This window comes from Homo sapiens, chromosome 1 (assembly GCF_000001405.40).
Source record: "Homo sapiens chromosome 1, GRCh38.p14 Primary Assembly".
In the NCBI taxonomy this organism is placed as follows: domain Eukaryota; kingdom Metazoa; phylum Chordata; class Mammalia; order Primates; family Hominidae; genus Homo; species Homo sapiens.
The window spans coordinates 237475778-237493721 of NC_000001.11; the positions used below are offsets into that span (position 1 = coordinate 237475778).

The window sequence follows — 17944 nt, forward strand, 5'->3', positions numbered from 1 at the left end:
AGTCACTATGTATACTAAGAGTATCTGATCAGTTCATACGCATGACCACTCTGAATTCATTTGGGGAATGAAAGATAAATCACATATTTTCCCTGACTTCAAGTGTGTCTAGTGATTATGTCGCTGGGCCAAAGTTAATTGAAAAGACAAAGATTGGTATGAGTAAGTACAGTTGATTGAGTTGATGTATTTCAGAATGGTGGCATTTTCTTCTGGATGTTCTCAGTCCTTGAAATACGATTTGGGGGCAAGAGATAGCTGACTAAAAACTGCTAGTCAGGAGGCTACAGAGTATTTCTGAGTTTGACTTTTTGTGTAGTCTGTTCCCTGCACAGTTTTGCAGTGATGAAAGTGGTCTCTCTTTGGCATTCCTGCCATTTCTTCCCCTCTCTTAGTAAGTGCCAGTGAGTGAAGTCCTGTCTGGGTTTAAGCCAAAGAAGGAGTCTTTGAGGCTGGTCGTGGTGGCTCATGCCTGTAATCCCAGCACTTTGGGAGGCTGAGGTGGGTGGATCACCTGAGGTCAGGAGTTTGAAACCAGCCTGGCCAACATAGTGAAACCCCGACTCTACTAAAATACAAAAAATTAGCCAGGCATGGTGGCAGGTGCCTGTAATCCCAGCTACTCAGGAGGCCGAGGCAGGAGAATCGCTTGAACCTGGGAGGTGGAGGTTGCAGTGAGCCAAGATTGCGCCACTGCACTCCAGCCTGGGTGATAGCGTGAGACTCTGTCTCAAAAAAAAAAAAAAAAAAAAAAAAAAAAAAAAGAACGAGTCTTTGAGTGGTCTCCAGATATCAAAGCTTCATGCTCATGTACAGAACAACTTGTGGTACCTGTAAATAGGATGGTTTAAGGCTTCCAAAGTCCTTATAATTCTTTCTTGCAGAGTATAAGCTCATCATTTTTCAAAGATGAAAAAGTTGTAAGCTGTGAAATAAATTGTGCCATAATCTTGTGTAGCAGGAAGTTTTCCTCCTTGATATTTACTTAAGTGTGGGCAATTGAATTAGAAAGAACAAGAGCTCACATGATATTTATTGTCTGAGATCCATTATTAGTGATGCAGAAATCATAGCTAACTGATTTGAGTAGTACCAACAATTCAGGCAACACTATTGACTTTCTCCAGGGTTAGTTTGGAGGTGGGATACCAGCAACCTGTGCTCATTCACTACTTTTTTCTGATTTTATTTTCCCTTTGCATAGCCCTTTAGGGTGGCATTCCACAAAAATCTTAGTTAGCCAGAGGAATAAAAGAGGAAGTCTTGTCTCGTAAAACCCACCAAATCCATTAAGGGCTTACTTGAGAAAAACTGCTTATTAGAAAACAAAATCAGCCGGGTGTGGTGGCTCACACCTGTAATCCCAGCACTTTGGGAGGCCGAGGCAGGCGGATCACGAGGTCAAGAGATGGAGACCATCCTGGCCAACAAGGCGAAACCTCGTCTTTACTACAAATATAAAAATAAGCTGGGCGTAGTGGTGCGCACCTGTAGTCCCTGCTACTCAGGAGGCTGAGGCAGGAGAATCGCTTGAACCTGGGAGGCAGAGGTTGCAGTGAGCCGAGATCACACCACTGCATTCCAGCCTGGTGACAGAGTAAGACTCCGTCTCAAAAAAAAGAAAAGAAAACAACATCACAAGCAGTGATGTGATTTGCACTGCACATCCACCTGGCCTGTTTCTAGTCTCCTTTGGGAACTGAGCTTAAGTTTCATTGTCAGGGACAGAACTGAAGTTTTGGCTTTTAGGCACTGTTACTGACAGATGGCTATTTATTACCATTGTCTGGTCTGATTGCATCTTGCTCATACCATTCTAGTTATTAAATATTTTTAGCATCACCCTTGGTCAAGTAATTGCATTGTGTCACTTGCTTTCCGTCAAGTTTAAGTGTCTGTTACCTACCTAAGGTACATTGTCATGGCTTAAAGCCTCTGTGTGGGTCTGAGTTCAGAGGTGCTTCTCTGCATTGTGAGTAACTTAGTTCAATCTTCTCAAGCCAACTTGCCTCTTGATGGCCCTTTTAGTCCTAAGCTTTTAAAGTGGGAGCATATGAACACAGTAGTCAAAAGAGGGAAGTCATTTGCCACCCACCCAAATGTTCCATCTGCAGTATCGAGGCAGGGTGCACCACTGTCCAGGCAGTCCCCTCAGGGTCAGTGTGATATAGTGAAAGTAGTCTTGATGGATATTAGCCGAGGTGCTTTGGCACCCATGAAAGGTACCTGCTCTGGAGAGAGGTGACCAGGATGAGGTCTCAGAGTGTAGTCAGCCCATTAGGATACAATGTCCTAATTGTGGGCAATAGGGCCTGTTCCAAAGTTTCCTACTATTTCATTATCAAAAACAGGGTTCATCCCTACCAAGACTGACTCATCAGAAATGGCAGCTCATTTTAAAATCATTCTATTTCTATCTTCTTTGCTGCTATGTTTAGGAGAAGCAGAGCTCATAGGTTACAGGTATGGATTTTAGAGTTGGACTGGCCTAAGTCCAATCCCAGCTCCACCGTTTATATAATAGCTGTATGACCTTGACCAAGTCGCTTAGCTCCTCTGTGCTTCCCGTTTTTTAACCTGTCAATGGGAATGGTAAAAATATCTGCCTCAAAGTGCTCTTAGTGACACTACAAATGTGCTTATTAAATTAAATGTATAAAAATACCACAGTACGCACCTAGCACCTTTTATTTTTGGATTTAGCAGTTGTTGGTAGCTACAAGATTAATTTGATTTATTAAAAGCAAGGTTTTCCCATGTTCACACTGCTAAGATATGATATGGAGAATTTCAGATGGAAACGCATAATAATAGCAAAGGCTGATACAAGTTTTACTATGTTTTGGATACTGTTCTAGTCTCTTTAAATATATTAACTTACTTAATCTACACAATAACTTTATAAAGTGAATAATATTAGTATTCCCATTTCACAGCTGGGAAACTGAGACATGGTGAAATTGTCTTTCCAAGGCCAGACAGCATGTAAGCCACCGAGGCAGGCCTTAAGGGACCCCCCTACCCTCGCTTACCATCTGGCTGCAAATTTCATGCTCTTTCCCTTCATAATAGATAATGTCTCAGTTGGGGGCCAGCGGGATGGATAGTGATGGAATGAGTGTGCACTGTATGTTATTTGAATGTGATGAAGAAATAGAATAACTCTCTCATGTAAATAGGCAAGTTCAATTGTTGCAGATCTGTAGAATTTCAGTGAAAGTGAAAGTGTTTTCTGGAGGCTTCGTAACCCACCTAGCCTCCCTTGTGGCTTTACTACCCCTCTCTTGAGTTACATTGGGTGATGCAGGCTTAGTGGCGAATGATTCAAAATACTACTCTTCATTAAATCACAAAGTGTTTTGGTCTTCTGGTAGTACTTTCTCATATTCTCAGGTCTGAAGTGATTTGCTCAGTTTTCCAAAAATACATCCACTTTGAAATGCATTAAGTTGTTGTATTTCACCCTACACATACTGATATATCTCACAACTATATACCATTCTGCACACAGTGCCCTATCTAAAATTGTGCTTTTTGTCAATGTATTGCACAACCTTTCTCCTTCCTTCCCCTTACTTTACACTTGCTAACTACAACAACTAGACTATTCTATGCACCTTTATTTGTTTTCTTTGCGATCACTGGGAATGATGCGCTTGGTTTGTCTTTATACTGCAGGAGAACTTTTAAAATTGATGTAACGATGAAGCTGATGCTATGCTCAGTTTACATTTCTGCCCAAAATGATAGCTCTCAATAAATATTTGCTGCTTTGAGGTACACATCTTTTGGAAGAACTTGCTCCAGGGGATCCATCTTAAAAAATTCTCAGGTGTTTATGTCTTGTAAACCTTTGAGTAAGGCTTTAGAGCAAACAGTTACATCTGCCAGCATTTCTGTGGGTACTGACGTTTCACAGGGAGACCCAGAGTCTTAGACTTTTGAACATTATAATGACTGCGTAGTTTTTAATTGTGCAACGAAGGAAATCTCAAGTGAATTTAGGGCACTGTGCTGACAGTGTCATATGCATTACTCCACTGGATTTCCACAGTTACTCTATAAGGTAGGTTTTATTACAATTTCCATTTACAAATGAAGAATCTGAGGCTACACAGCTCAGATGTCACCTTTTCAAGGTAAAAGGAAACTAATGAACCTAGGAATGAACCTCTGTAGTCTGTCTGTAAGCTCTATGAGAGCAGGGATGAGGCCAATTTTGCTCCTCATTTTGCTCAAACCCTGGACCTAACACAGTGAATGGTCCATTTGATGTACTCAGCGATGCATGAATGAATAAATGAAAGAGACCCCCAGAAAACCAGAACCATGATTGTTAACAGCAAGATAGGCATATCTGGCGGGGCATGGTGGCTCATGCCTGTAATCCCAGCACTTTGGGAGGCTGAGGTGGGTGGATCAGTTGGGGTCAGGAGTTTGAGACCGTCCTGGCCCACATGGTGAAACCTCGTCTGTACTAAAAATACAAAAATCAGCTGGGTGTGGTGGCATGCGCCTGTTGTCCCAGTTACTTGGGAGGCTGAGGCAGGAGGATCGCTTAAGCCTGGGAGGCAGAGGCTGTAGTGAACCAAGATCATCTCAAAAAAAAAAAAAAAAAAAAAAGAATATCTTGAAGTATTAATGATTTCCTATCTGGCATTCAACATTTTCTTAGGTTTTGAGATGTGGCAATTTATACAAATAAATGTTTGTATAGCATAAAAATTCTAATACCGTTACTTGTTGTATAATGAACTGCTTTTAGTTGACATTCTCTTTTCTTTTAACTGGACTTTAACTTCTATAGTTTGTCTATTTTTTTATAAATCATGGTTCCTTAAACTGAAGGCAGCAAACCATCAGGGGCCTAATTAAGGCTGCATAGTACATTATAATTACAGTGCTCATTTTGTGTGTTTTATTTCAGCTAATTTACTCCAGCAAACTCCTGACTCATATTCATCTTTTCTTCTAATAAAAGACTCTTGGTCCATCATTTTTGTTTGTCTGTTTTGCAAATGCATCCACGATATTCCCTCATTCTGTATATGGATAATGATGTGATCCACCTTTTATCTTCACTAACTTCCATTTTTATTTATTTTTCTCTCCTTTTCTTAATTTTGCCAAGCCGTGTTATATTTTAGTTTTAACCTCTGTTGCTTTTTTCTCCTTTTTGGAGCTTTATGAGTGCTCAAGATTTAATGGGCTTATTTTCTTCTTTAGCCACAAAACCAGCATAAAAATATGAAGCATATGTAATTATGTATTTTGGTAATTTGGCTTGAGCCCAAATCTCTTGGAATTGTTATTTTTAAGTGTATATATACATATATATATATATATATACACACACATATATATATTCATATCAATTTATTTTTCTCTATTTCTGTGACTTACGGAAACTCTATTTAGAGTAATGTATTTATTTCATGAGTTAACCCCCTGTTAACAGGAAGCAAAATGTGCACTGCTTCTTTTTTCTTTTCTTTCTGATTATATGTAAAGAATAAAAAGTTAAAAAATAATTTACCAGTTTATCTTATATTGAGACTCAAATGATTTCTTGACTTCAAATTTATACCCATTTTAAACAAACAAAAACATTTTTCTCCGGCTCAGTGGTGATTCAGTTTGTGATACACAAAATTCACTGCAAACATTTAAAAAGATGTGTTGTAATTATGCTATATATTGACTCATCATTCAACTCTTGCTATTTGTTTTGGGTAGACCCAATTCTCCTTGGTAGGAAGAGCAAACTAAGCTTCCAGTTAGCTCAAGCTAGACGTTTCTATAGTTCCTACTTTCTCATTTTCCCTCATGGTTGTGCTTACTCTTGAAAATAAGACAACTTAGATGCAATGCGTAAGTTATCACTCATTGGCAGTTTAATTTAAACTCGTGGAAAAAAACAACAGATTTGTGCCTTTACAGAACCCTCTCAGATGCACAGGCCCAGATACAAATTACTGCTTTTACACATAACTCAGATTCTTTCCCTTACAGCCTCACCATTGCTGTGTAGCAAAAAAAAAAAAAAAAAAAAAAAAAACCACCTCCCAAACTCCTTGGATCTTGTGCCAACATGGAACTAGCTAGACCATGTCTTCTCTACAGCAAACTGCTGCTTACTTCATTTGCATGTTTTTCTTTTTTCATGATGTTGGTTTCGTAAGAAGACACTCCTGTTAACCAGGGGTGCTTTATGCTTTGTTTTAGCATTTATTAAACCCTAAGTCTTAGTTGAACTTTCACTACTTTTTTAATTTTATGAGTACATAGTAGGTGTATATACTCATGGGACACATGAGATGTTTTGATACAGGCATGCAATGTGAAATAAGCACATCATGGAGAATGGGTTATCCATCCCCTTTCAAGCATTTCTTCTTTGAGTTACAAGCAATCCAGTTACGTTCTTTAAGTTAAAGAGTTAATTGTACATTTAAAATGTGCAATTAAGTTATTATTGGATATAGTCGCACTGTTGTGCTATCTAGTAGTAGGTCTTACTCATTCTTTCTATTTTTTTGTACCCATCAACCATCCCTACATTCCTCTAGAGCCCCCCACTACCCTTCCCAGCCTCTGGTAACTATCCTTCTACTTCCTGTGTCCATGAACTCAAATGTTTTGATTTTTAGATCTCGCAAATAAGTGAGAACATGTGATGATTGTCTTTCTGTACCTGGCTTATTTCACTTACATACTCATCTCCAGTTCATCCATGTTGTTGCAAATGACTGGATCACATTCTTTTTTATGGCTGAATAGTACTCCATTGTGTGTATATACTGATTTTCTTTATCCATTCATCTGCAGACGGACATTTAGGTTGCTTCCAAATCATTGCAATTATGAACAGTACTGCAACCACCATGGAGTGCAGATATCTCTTCGGTATACTGATTTCTTTCTTTTGGGTATATACTCAGCAGTGGGATTGCTGGATCACATAGTAGCTCAATTTTTAGTTTTTTGAGGAACCTCCAAAATGTTCTCCATAGTGGTTGTACTAATTTACATTCCTACCAACAGTGCAGGAGGGTTCCCTTTTCTCCATACCCTTGCCAGCATTTGTTATTGCCTGTCTTTTGGATGTAAGCCATTGTAACTGGAGTGCAATGATATCTCATTATAGTTTTGATTTGCATTTCTCTGATGATCCTTCACTGCATTTTTGACTCAGCTCTCCTGTAATCTCAAGAATGCAAAACTTTCTGTGGTTCTGCCCACTTGCCCTCCTTGTTTCTCTGTGCCTCGCTGTGTCTCTCGCCAAGGTCTAACAGGCTGGTTTAATTTCTCCTGATTTACTAATTTACCTGATTTTATTTGAATCAAACTAACTTTGATTCCATGTCTTCATGCTGATTCATAGATATCTCCCCTGAATTCTCCTCTGATCAGTGTTGTCCATTCAGCATTTCTCTACCTCTTACGACTATCATCACTGCTCCACAAAGGAGCATATTGGTAATTCTTCCCTGTTGATCTTTGTTTCATTTGCCTTATTTTATTTCAACCATAAAATAATAGCAAATACTTACATCACGTTGCTTTGATCCAAGCTCTGTTCTAAATGTCTTACATGTATTGCTATTCATAACAATTTCTCCTCTCCCAGGCACCATTATTACATCCATTTCATAGAGGTGGACACTGGAGCACAGAGATGTTAAATAGTTTGCTAAAAACCTGCAAGGACACAAAACTAGGCACATCGGCTTACATCCATGCTTATCACCAGTATATAATACAATAGAATAATAATGATACCTCTTACTATGATATTTCCCCATTAAATTTTGTAAATACCAAGACTGCCAATCAGTTACTCTTCTGAAAGGATGATGGTCTGTCACATCCCTAAGTTATTTCATTTAGGAATGCAAATGTCGTTCATGTTCTGTGTGTTTCCCTGTTCTTTCTAGTCATTTCCCAGTTTACTTCCCCATCTTTTTACTCGTTATGTCACTTTATTTAATTACTCAGAGCTAAAAGACAAATTTTCCTACTTTCAGTGAAATGTCAGTGAAATCTGGAGATATTAATAAAAAGGTTCTGACCAAAAAAGCTCTAACAGGTTTCGACTCCCAGGTAGGAGGGAAAAAAATCCCCAAACAAATACCTGTGGTTTGAATAATTTGTAATTAATTCACTGGGTCTCTGATTGTGACTTCTTTCGCTGATCTGCTGTGGACACCGCCAAACTGTTTGACTGGCACTGTATCTCCACTGTTTCCTTTACATGGGGCAGTTCAATTCCTACTAATTAGCACTCAGCCGGAGTCTTCCTGTTTGCCTACCTCTAGCTTAGACGAAAGGGTTTCCATGTCATGATTTTCAGGTGGGGCCAGGTGCTCCTTCTGGAGTAATCTTTTGTCCAGTATTATTACTCCTACTTGAAATAGAGGTGGAAGAGAGACTTTCCTTCTCCCAGAGCAGAATCACACTCCTGTATCCTTCATGAATAGAGAACTAGGTTCCATCTAAATCCACATACATCTTGGTGTTCTGGGATGATTTTGACTGTGTTTTATTTTTGCAAAACAGTTGTAACCATAGATGAGAAACAGTACCATGGGGGGTGGGGCATGGTGGTTTCTAAGTCTGTGGTTTTCCTGGGCTTTCTGCAGTGATCATGGGAGCACCAGCGTCATGGCTTGCTTTGTCCCCACGTTGGCCTCCTGTGCCTGTGTGGCTACCAGTCTAATTCCATTCACTTCTTCTCCCAAATGTAAGCTTATGCCTACTTGCGATGGGGCAAAATCCCCAGGCTAGATTCTTCTTGGTAGGTAAAGTCAGCCTACGTAGAGCACTCTTGCCCTGTGGCTTGTTTCTAGTTTTTCTATACAGATTCTCAACAAATTTTGTTCAACCTCAGACAGCCTGAGTTGTGACCTGTGAATATACAATAGCAAAGTCAACTTTGATCTCTAATGAAGTTCCTACAGATTTGTAAGTCAAGTAACAAAAGTCTAAGTCTATCAGTAAAAAGCAAACAGGACCACTTTTTTTTGGTTACAAAAAACATGATAAGGAATATTCTCTACCCATCACAGCACTTGGCCACAGCTCCCAATACCATTAAGTTATTTCTAGACATTTAGTTACATCCTTGGAGATTTTCCTTTCTCGGGAGAACATAAATAATTCACAGTTACAACCATAAAAGTTTTAAGGCAAATGGCTAAATATTTGCACGTATTAAACATGCAGTGCCTGCAGCCTCAATTTTGTGTTCTACAAACAAACAGCACAGAAATTTGCCGAATTCACCAAGTAAAATTTTTCCTCAAATTGAAACACAGATAAGGAAATCCTAGCACTAAGAAATATAAATTCCCTATGTTGTGTCCTCTGTCTTTTCTACATTTAAAATAATAACGGTTTTAAATGAAATTCTCCAGATATAAAGTATTTCAGTTATTCTATTTACACTTAACAATTATGAATCTTGTTATGAGTAAATAAATAAATGGCAGATTTATTTTGTTTAAACAGAATGTGAGAACCAACAGTCCATTTATATTCATTCACTTATTCATTTGGCAAACACGAGATGACCTTCCCTGGGTCAGAGTGAGCTGGGTGACAAGGAGGCAAAATTAAATCAATATCTGCTCTCAAGGGCTCGTTCTGTAATGGGGGATTGAAATGAGAATTTTAAAAATGTGAATGTGCTTGTTACTACAAAAGGAGGAATAATTAATTCATCTCAGGGCATTGGTAAAGACTCACCAAATGAGGTAACTTTCAACCTTTGCAAGCTGATTGAGATTTTGCAGTCTTAGACGGTGGGAGTGTATTTAGATCTGAGAATAACATCAGCAAAGGATTGAAGGTGGGCAAGTTCCTATAAGTTTCAAGAGGGCCTTGCCTGTCTGGTTCACTGCTGATCCCATTCCTTGGAACAGTGCCTGGTAGGTGCTTAATAAATATATATGATTCATATGTAGGTATACATATTAATTGTTGTTTGTGGGAGGAAGCGGCAGGAATTGAGGCTGCAAAGGAAGGTTGCACTATCTGGTTTAGGGACTGATATTCTATGCTAAGGGGAGTGGACTTTGACCTTGGAAGGTCTGGGAAGCCATTAAAGATTTTAAGCAAGGGAGTGACATTGATTAAATGTGTGTTTCAGCATAACCACCTACAGTTTGGAGGATGGGTTGGGGAGGGAGGAGAAACTGGAGGAGAGGATATAGTAAGAGGCTATTCAGTGAAAGGAGAGGATGAGTTTAGGAGATAAATTTGGACACAGGATTAATGAATTTTAACAATTAGATTTAGGAAAATGAGAAAGTGAAAGAGGATTCAAAAATGACTTCAGGTTTTTAGCTTGAATATATGGATGCACGATGGATGAGAGAAGCAATTTTACATATATACGTACAAAGAAAGGTGTTATGTTCAGCTTTTGAAAAAGTTAGTTGGGGGTACTTAGAGACATTCTCATTGAAATGTCCAGAAGATAATTAGGAGATGATATTTGAAATCAACTTGGAATAGTCAACCTAAGTTCTTGTAACTCCTCACTACTAAGGTAAATCATGCATGTTAAATGGCCAGTACCCTGAGACCAACCCTAGTTTATTGCTGTACAATACTTAATTCTAGTATAAACTCTCAGTACTGTAATTTGTGTGTTCTCTGTGTAGCAACTGGTAGCTTTTGTTTATGCTTATTCCAAACTTATGGAATGAAAATAAGTTTATATAACTTGGATGAAGTATAAGACTTAAAAGACTCCATAGATTAAAAGTTAATTATAGTTATATACTGTAGAGAGGAAAGGCAGCTAATGTTACTGGCCTTTTGTTGTCAGGCCTCATTAAGTTGCATGAATTGACTAAGTATTGAGATTTAGTGGCAGAAATAAAATGTAAGTAGACATTACTTCCTATTGTTTTATGATTCTTTTAAAATACGTTTCTTACTATAAAAGTTATGCATGCTCATTTCACAGAATTTATGAAATATTGGGAGAGAAGTATACAAATCCAGCAATAACCAAGACTAACCTTTTTAGGTAATAACTTCTGGTCTTTTTTAAAATATGTATTTTATACAAATGAATATATTTTACATAGTTGCAATTATAATCTATATGTTATTTTGGATCTACTCTTAAAAAGTTACATTGATTATTATATATTTCTATGATGTTAAAAGGTTCTCTCAAATCATTTCTATAAACTTATTAAAACATAAAATTCAATTGTTTTGCATTATTAGTTGTAGTTAGTTGAAATTTTTTTAAGTAATTTGTAGTATATTTATAATTCTTTCATTCCATAATACTGTTATGATCTGCCAAGCTTTTAAATTTGAGAATCTAACCATAAGCTTCACGACTATAGCTATTTCTTGGTCTTATTGAATGTATTTAGAATTTAGTGGTCAAATGATTGTAACTATTGATATTATAATCTTCATTAAGCACTGTTTCTCTGCATCATTTTTCATCCAAGTGTTCAAAGCATATATCAGCATAATTTAAATATACGCATAATATTGTATACCTATTCCTTTTTTTATTTAAAAATGGACTCTTTGGTGTTTCTCATTTGTTGTCCTTTAAGAATTTTTTATTATACAAAAGCACATTTGCTGTTTATTTCAATAAAATTAAAAATCAAATTTATTTCAGGCTGGGTGCTGTGTCTCGCAACTATAATTTCAGCACTTTGGGAGGCTGGTGGGAGGATTGCTTGAGCCCAGGAGTTCAAGACCAGTCTGGGCAACATAATGAGACCACCCCCGTCTCTACAAAAAAAAAAAAAAAAAAAAGCTCAGCATGGTGGCATGCACCTATAGTCCCAGCCACTCAGGAGGCTACGGGAGGCTAAGGTGGGAGGATTGCTTAAGCCCAAGAGCTTGAGGCTGCAGTGAGCTATAATCGTGCCAATGCTCTCCAGCCTGGGCAACTAAGCAAGATCCTATCTCAAAAAAAAATTATTCCAATAAACCAGGGTTATTCTTGAGGTATTGGCCATCTAATATGCCTGCATATTTCAGTTTATTCCAATAAAATTGAAAATAAAACGTGTTTTCTCTGACTTTATTGTTATAATTAATAGAATTAGAAGCTGTCAATGTTTTTCAACTATTTATTTATTGGATCTGACCTGATAGAATTGAAAAACAAAGAAACTGTTTTAATGTTAAACCCCAAATTCTGAAAGCTTTCTATTAGACTAGGCTAAATAGGAGAAAAATCGGGGATTTGTTTTCATATAGCCATTTTTGCACTTTGTGACATACGCTATTTACTTCCAAAATCTGGTCATATCTTTTCTAATATATTCAGTTTATTCACTCTATGGGCCTTCATGAGTGTTTATTTTAGCACGAAAATTTATTGGTCTTCGTCTTAACTTCTTGGTCTTTTTTCTTAATGGTTATATTGTATTCCACGATTGGCAATCTTTTTCTGAAAAAGGCTAGTGTCTTAGTCAAGTAGGACTGTTGTAGCAAAATATCACAAACTGGGTGATTTATAAACAACAGAAATGTATTTCTCACAGTTCTAGATTCTGGGAAGTCCAAGATCAAGGCTCCTGCAGATATGGCATCCTGAGGGCCTCCTTTCTCAAAGAAAGTTCGTCCTCACATGGTGGAAGGGACAGCAAGCTCCCTTGGGGCCTCCTTTATAAAGGCACTAATCCCATTCTTAAGGGCTCTACCTTCATGACCTAATCACCTCCCCAAGGGGAACATCTCCTAATACCATTGTCAGGCCTTTGAGCCCAAAGGCTGGATGTACACTGTGACCTGCACGTGTACATCCACATGGCCTGAAGCAACTGAAGATCCACAAAGGAAGTGAAAATAGCCTTAACCGATGACATTCCACCATTGTGATTTGCTCCTGTCCCACCCTAACTGATACATATATTCTCCCCCACCCTTAAGAAGGTACTTTGTAATATTCTCCCCCGCCCTTAAGAATGTACTTTGTACACCTACCCCAAACCTATAAGAACTAATGATAATCCCACCATCCTTCGCTGACTCCTTTTTCAGACTCAGCCCGCCTGCACTCAGGTGAAATAAACAGCCTTGTTGCTCACACAAAGCCTGTTGGTGGACTCTTCTCACGGACGCGCGTGACAACCATTGCCTTGGGGGTTAGGATTTCAACATATCAATTTTGGAGAGACGAAAACATTCAGACCATAGCAGCCAGATAGTTACTATTACAGGCCGCGTGGACCATGAGGTCTGTTAGAATCACTCAACCCTGCCTTTGTAGTGTGAAAGCAGCCATAGACAGTATGTAAATGCAGGTGCATAGAATACACAATAAAATTTTATTTATAAAAATAGGCAGTATGCGTCTGACAAGGGTCTCATATCCAGAATCTATAAGGAACTTAAATAACCCAACGAGCAAAAGCCAAATAACCCCATTAAAAAATTGTCAAAAGACTTGAACAGACACTTCTCAAAAGAAGACAGACAAGCAGCCAACAAACATATGAAAAATAGTCTACCCACATCTCCAATCACCAGAGAGAAATGCAAATCAGAACTACAATGAGATACCATCTCATACCAGTCACACTTGGCTATTGTTAAAAAGTCAGGCTGGGCACGGTGGCTCACACCTGTAATCCCAGCACTTTAGGAGACCAAGGTGGGCGGATCGCCTGAGATCAGGAGTTCGAGACCAGCCTGGCCAACATGGTGAAACCCCATCTCTACTAAAAATACAAAAATTGCCTGGGCATGGCGGTGGGTGCCCATAATCCCAGCTACTCCAGAGGCTGAGGCAGGAGAGTTGCTTGAACCCGGGTGGTAGAGGTTGCAGTGAAGTGAAATTGTGCCATTGCATTCCAGCCTGGGTAACAAAAGCGAAACTCCATCTCAAAAAGAAAAAAGGCTTATATTGTTGGTGGGAATGTAAATTAGTTCAGCCACTGTGGAAAGCAGTTTGGAGATTTATCAAAAAACTTAACAGAGAACTACCATTTGACCCAGGAAGCCTATTACTGGGTATATATCTGAAAGAAAATTAATTGTTTTACCGAAAAGACACATGCACTTAAATGTTCGTGGCATCACTATTCACAAGAGCAAAGACATGTCATCAATCTAGGTACCCATCCACAGTAAACTGCATAAAGAAAATGTGGTACCTATGCGTCATGAAATACTACGGATTGGATAAAGAAAATGTGGTACATATACACCATAGAATACCACGCAGCCATAATAAGATTGACATCATGTCCTTTACAGCAACATGGATGCAACTGGAGGTTGTTATCCTAAGCAAATTAATGCAGGAACAGAAAACCACATACAGCGTATTATCACTTATAGTGGGAGCTAAACAAGGGGTACTCATGGACATAAAGATAGCAACAATAGACTAGCCACTACTAAGTGGGAGGAAGGGGGATCGAACAAGGGTTGAAAAATTACCTATTGGTTGGGCTTTGCTCACTACCTGGTTGATGGGATCAATTGTACTGCAAACCTCAGCATTATGCAATATATCCATGTAACAAACCTGCCCATGTATCCCTTGAATCGAAAATAAAAGTTGAAATTATTTTTTATAAAAAGGCAGCCGTGTGCTCTATAGCAATCAATAATGGGGAGAAAACAAACAAAAACATCGGGATAGCATGACCAGTCTATTAAAAATGCTTTTCCATTTCCATGATTTTATTTTAGCACAGAATGAATGAGTTTATTTTGTTTCTACGTTTTTAGTAATAGCAAAAAAAAAAGGTATTCAGTTTTAGTATACTTATATAAAGATCTGCTTTAACTCGTCAGCCTCTTGTAGCATTAGTTTCTGTTGTCTTTGATTTTTAACTGTTATGCATTGTTGGAACACAGCAGCTGATTTTGAACAGCTCCAAAATGTAACTCAAAATCCTTTTGGCTGAATATATATTTGTGTTTTAACAAACTAAGTCATTAGTGAAGAAATTAGCATTAACAGTCCTCGTTTTGTAATGGATTGGGGCTTGGATCAAATATAGATTGTGACAGCCATAGAGAATTGCCTCTGTATTCTATGATACCTTTGTAAATGTAAAACTTTGTATTTCTTTTCTAAGAATATTAACTCCATTTGAGATGTATGACCCTTTCCACAGGGTTCCTCTGGGGCCCTTCCCAATACTATGTAACTCTTAGAGGTGATGTTTTCTGTATGTTGGGTCTAATTGGTGTGAATGGGACCCATTCTCATTGTTGACAAGGCAAGCTTGTTCAGAAAACATGAACACAGAGGTACACATTTAGCTTTACAAGTTCATGCTAAAATTTCTGATAATGAAATTTATTTTCTCTTCTTTCCTTTTTAAACTTCAAGAAAAGGCATATACTATTTTATATTTTGTGGTGGCTAGTACCTAAAAATACCACGATTTTTAATCCCGTTTTATACATTGTGTTATTTCTGTTTATTTATGTCTTATTTTACATATTTCTCTTATTTAACAAACTAAGAAATCTTGTGTACTATAAACCTCAAGGAGAATGTCATGATCTCCATGGATTGGGATGCACTGTTGCAGGATTACACTTTCAGTGCCAAGAAGCTTCATAAACTGGCCCTAACCCACCTGTCCCCTCCCCCACTCACTCTGTACATGAGGCACACCAGATATGCCCCACGTTCAAGACTTTACTCATGCACATACTGCCCTTCCTTTCCTGGAAAGCCTGAAAATGGTCATGAACGTATTCTTTAAGGCCCCACCTCTGTGTTGCTTCGTGTACGCCCTCCTTCGGGTAGCGTTACCGGCTTCCTCTGCTAAACACCACGTCTCAGTTGTTTGCCTTTTCTTCCCTCAACTGTGATGTCTTCATCTTTGGATATTAGTCCCCTCTCCCAAACACCACCTGTCACCTATCACAGTGCCTTGTAACAGTCACATTGAGCACAGATAATTACATGTTGTACTGAATGCACCTATGTAGAAAAAGGAAGACACTGGTCATTGTACACCAATTAATCATGTGTTTTTTTTCCTCTTTCTTTGTTTTATCTTTAGGCATTCTGGAAGTTTTACACTGTGTTTTAGTAGAAAGTCCAGAAGCTCTAAATATTATTAAAGAAGGACATATTAAATCTATTATCTCACTTTTAGACAAACATGGAAGAAATCACAAGGTAAATGAACTATTTTATTTCCCTGAATGAATTCTCAAATCCTTTTAGATATATTTTTAAATACAATAACTTTTAAAAAGTGTGTCAAATTTTTCATGAGTGTTTTTAATCTCTTAATTATTTTTTGAGATGCAGTCGAGCTCTGTCGCCCAGGCTGGAGTGCAGTGGCGCGATCTCAGCCCACTGCAACCTCCGCCTCTAGGGTTCAAGCATTCTCCTGTCTCAGCCTCTCAAGTAGCTGGGACTACAGGTGCATGCCACCATGCCCGGCTAATTTTTGTATTTTTAGTAGAGACAGGGTTTTACCATATTGGTCAGGCTGGTCTTGAGCTCCTGACCTCAGGTGATCCACCTGCCTTGGCCTCCCAAAATTCTGGGATTACAGGCATGAGCCACCGCGCCTGGGCTTCATCTCTTAATCATGATCAAGTAATATTTTTTAGTGTTTATTCATAGCATCAGTGGGAACATGAACAGTTCTCAATTTATATATGAAGAAAAGTTGGAAAATTAGTGGGAAACTACTGTAATGTTTAAATAACTGAGTCAAATGTAACTGGAGGAATGCATTTGCTTTGTAAAAAAGTGCTGCTGATGCTTGATTCTGAAGGGGGAATTCGAATCAGCTGACAGTGACTGCACCCAGTGGCTCATGCCTGTCATTGCAGTAATTGGGGAAGCCAAGATGGGAGGGTTGCTTGAGGCCAGGAGTTTGAGACCAGCCTGGGTAATATAGCAATACCCTGTCTTTACAAAAAAAGAAAATTAGCCAGATGTGGTGGCATGCACCTACAGAGGCTGAGGTAGGAGGATTCTTTGTGCCCAGGAGTTCAAGTCTGCAGTGAGCTATGATCGCATCACTGCACTTCAGCCTGGGTGACAGAGTGAGATGCTGTCTGAAAGGAAGGAAGGAAGGAAGGAAGGAAGGAAGGAAGGAAGGAAGGAAGAAGGGAAGGAAGGAAGGGAGGGAGGGAGGGAGGGAAAGCAGGGAGGGAGGGAGGATCAGCTGAAAGTAATTTCTCTTTTCAGGTTCTGGATGTCTTGTGCTCACTCTGTGTTTGCCACGGGGTTGCAGTCCGTTCTAACCAGCATCTCATCTGTGACAATCTCCTACCAGGAAGAGACTTGTTATTGCAGACACGTCTTGTGAACCATGTCAGCAGGTAAATTCAGACAGACAATGTCACCTGACAGGTACCATAATAAAAGAATTAATGTTCTTGCCCTGTAGCTGATACTATATGGTCTGTTTTTTAAATTAGACCATATAGTATTATTTTCTGTATTTTTGCAGTGAATAATATGTCTTTTTCTCTAACAATCAGATGGGCTAATAATAAATGAACCTAGCAAAATATGGATTTGCCGCAAACACATGTATAAGAGCTTTTATTCACATTCCTATGTAGATACATAACCATTGGCATCTTCAGGACCACCCTGACAACTGTATAGGTATATGGTTGTATATAATTGTACTTTACATCTTCTTAGAATGTAACTAAAAACACTATCCTTCAATATCATTGTTTTTTTCTTTTTTTTTAAGACAGAGTCTCGCTCTGTCGCCCAGGCTGGAGTGCAGTGGCACGATCTCGGCTCACTGCAAGCTCCACCTCCCGGGTTCAGGCCATTGTCCTGCCTCAGCCTCCCGAGTAGCTGGGACTACAGGTGCCCGCCACCACGCCTGGCTAATTTTTTGTATTTTTAGTAGAGACAGGGTTTCACCGTGTTAGCCAGGATGGTCTCGAACTCCTGACCTCGTGATCTGCCCGCCTTGGCCTCCCAAAATGCTGG

At 38.8% G+C, this 17944-nt stretch overlaps 1 protein-coding gene across 18 annotated transcripts in view; it reads left to right on the forward strand.

Annotated features, from left to right (window-relative positions):
* RYR2 (ryanodine receptor 2) overlaps positions 1–17944 on the forward strand; it is a 791805-nt gene that overhangs the window by 433594 nt on the left and 340267 nt on the right. For all 18 annotated transcript variants that reach the window (XR_007062490.1, XR_002957299.2, XM_006711802.4 and 15 more), the window contains 2 exons: positions 16029–16147; positions 17177–17310. Coding sequence is in view for 16 of the 18 variants with exons in the window: in XM_006711802.4 (XP_006711865.1) it covers positions 16029–16147; positions 17177–17310 (253 nt within the window). In the remaining 2 variants the exon portion in view is untranslated. The remainder of the gene's footprint in view (positions 1–16028; positions 16148–17176; positions 17311–17944) is intronic.